We start from the raw sequence: 1,916 nt of genomic DNA, 5'->3' as shown, positions 1-1,916 counted from the left end.
AGGGGCAAATGTATCTCACTGTATGTGACCAGCAGCCCTCCTGTCAAGCAAGGTAATACAGCAAAGGAAGGGTGAAATCGGGATTCTGACCCAAGTCCATCTGTCAGTAACAGCCGTGTTCTTTACTCAGCACAAAACTGTGAATGATTAGTCATTATTGCATGTGTTACTCCCAGGGGATTTTGCATTTTGCAATAAGAAAAGGCTTACACAGAGAAATGGACATCTAATGGCCCAGTTCCAGACACTGAGACACTTAAATGAGATATTTCCTAATAGGGTGGTGGGCGGAGGATGTGTTTTCAGCAAGCCCCCATTGGCCAACAGTGTGTGAAAGGGGCCCAACAGAAGCTGTTCACAGGCAGAGCCACCCCTAGTGCAGCATATCCCACAGAGAGCCCTGGAGGAAAATAAGGGTCTGTGGCATAATGAGCTTGAGGATACCAGTTATGATCTCCCTCTTGCAGACTTACAGTGCCTGTTAAAGGCCCTGAAACATCCTGCTGTAAGAAACCTGCTCACGGGAAGGCAGTTAGCAGTGGTTACTCTGGCAAGGGTAGCTGTGCTGGAAACTCACAAGGAGGGGAAGGGGCAGAAGGTGAGCCTGCTCAACATTTTCCAACCAAATCTATGCCAAATTACCTTGACTACAAACCTTTTTGTTAGCACAACATCAAGAACAAGCCTAAAGAACTAGTGTTCTAGGGAACTCACCTTGGGAAATGCTACCTTAAGTTCACCAAAACTTAAGAGTTTGTTCATATGTCTGTGAAGAAGAAAAAGAAGGTGAAGGGTCACCAGCCACTATTCCTGGGACATTCATCAGAAAATGACAATATCCAGAAATGAAAATGTCTGGGAGTGGAGAAGATGTGGATAGGGTTTGCTTAGGAGCCCCGAGGTCTGATCTCTGAATGGAACAAGGTCCGCCTGTCTTCCATGGAGGCTCATTTGTGCTCACCACAGGGACAGATTGGGAGAGAGAGAAGGTGTGTGTGATTCAGGTGCAGCTGGGTCTGGTGGATGCCGACGTCAAGTGTGTAGTGGAAGCCTCGGGTAGGCTGATGGAGTCTTAGCATCGCCCTGGGCCTTTTCTGTGTTGAAACTGGAAGCCCTAGAAACATGGCAGATTCCATCTGTCTCAAATGGTTTTTGGGTGGCTGATCCCAAAGGCCCAGTCTTGAGGACTATTCACCATCCCTCTCACCTCCTTTCCAAGCCTAGCCCTTTCTTCTTCAGGTGCTTGTGTCAGAAGAGGGAGGTACCAGGCACCCGCATAGCCTCCTCCATCTGTGGGGTGTGGAGGGTGCTGGGGGGCTGCGTGGCCCTGCGACAGTGAATTGAGAGCTGGCGCCAGCCCCTCTGTGCCCTTCTAGGGGACTTCTAGGGCCCTCTCCCACACAGGATCCACATCAGAGTTGTTACCTCTGTCTTTCTGTGTCTCCAGTGGCCAAACACACATCCATCCCTACATCCACACTCCCAAACCAAGCCTCCTCCCTTCAAAGACCGTAATCACATCAGAATCTGTCAAGACCAATAAGGAAAAGACAAGAAGAAGATCTAAAACCACAGCCCACAATGTGGGGCGTATCCATTAAGAATGCCATCCCAGCACTTTGGGAGGCCTAGGCAGGCAGATCACGAGGTCAGGAGATCGAGACCATCCTGGCTAACATGGTGAAACCCCATCATTACTAAAAATACAAAAAATTAGCCAGGCCTGGTGGCTGGTGCCTATAGTCCCAGCTACTCGGGAGGCTGAGGCAGGGAATGGCATGAACCTGGGAGGCGGAGCTTGCAGTGAGCGGAGATCGCACCACTGCACTCCAGCCTGGGTGACAGAGCAAGACTCTGTCTCAAAAAAAAAAAAAAAGAGTGCCATCCCATTTAGAATGGTGTCTAGTTGGGAATGT

General features: G+C 49.6%; 1 annotated feature.

Moving 5' to 3' along the window:
- Positions 1 to 110: an enhancer, noted in NCBI's record as "active region_16515". NCBI's record gives its function as "activates an Ori minimal core promoter by ATAC-STARR-seq in GM12878 lymphoblastoid cells {active_cell/tissue: GM12878}" and the evidence as "EXISTENCE:reporter gene assay evidence [ECO:0000049][PMID:35858748]".

The sequence above is a fragment of the Homo sapiens genome, chromosome 2, assembly GCF_000001405.40.
Source record: "Homo sapiens chromosome 2, GRCh38.p14 Primary Assembly".
Classification (NCBI taxonomy): domain Eukaryota; kingdom Metazoa; phylum Chordata; class Mammalia; order Primates; family Hominidae; genus Homo; species Homo sapiens.
The sequence above is the reverse complement of the archived record's forward strand: the minus strand, read 5'-3'. Positions and strand labels throughout refer to the sequence as shown.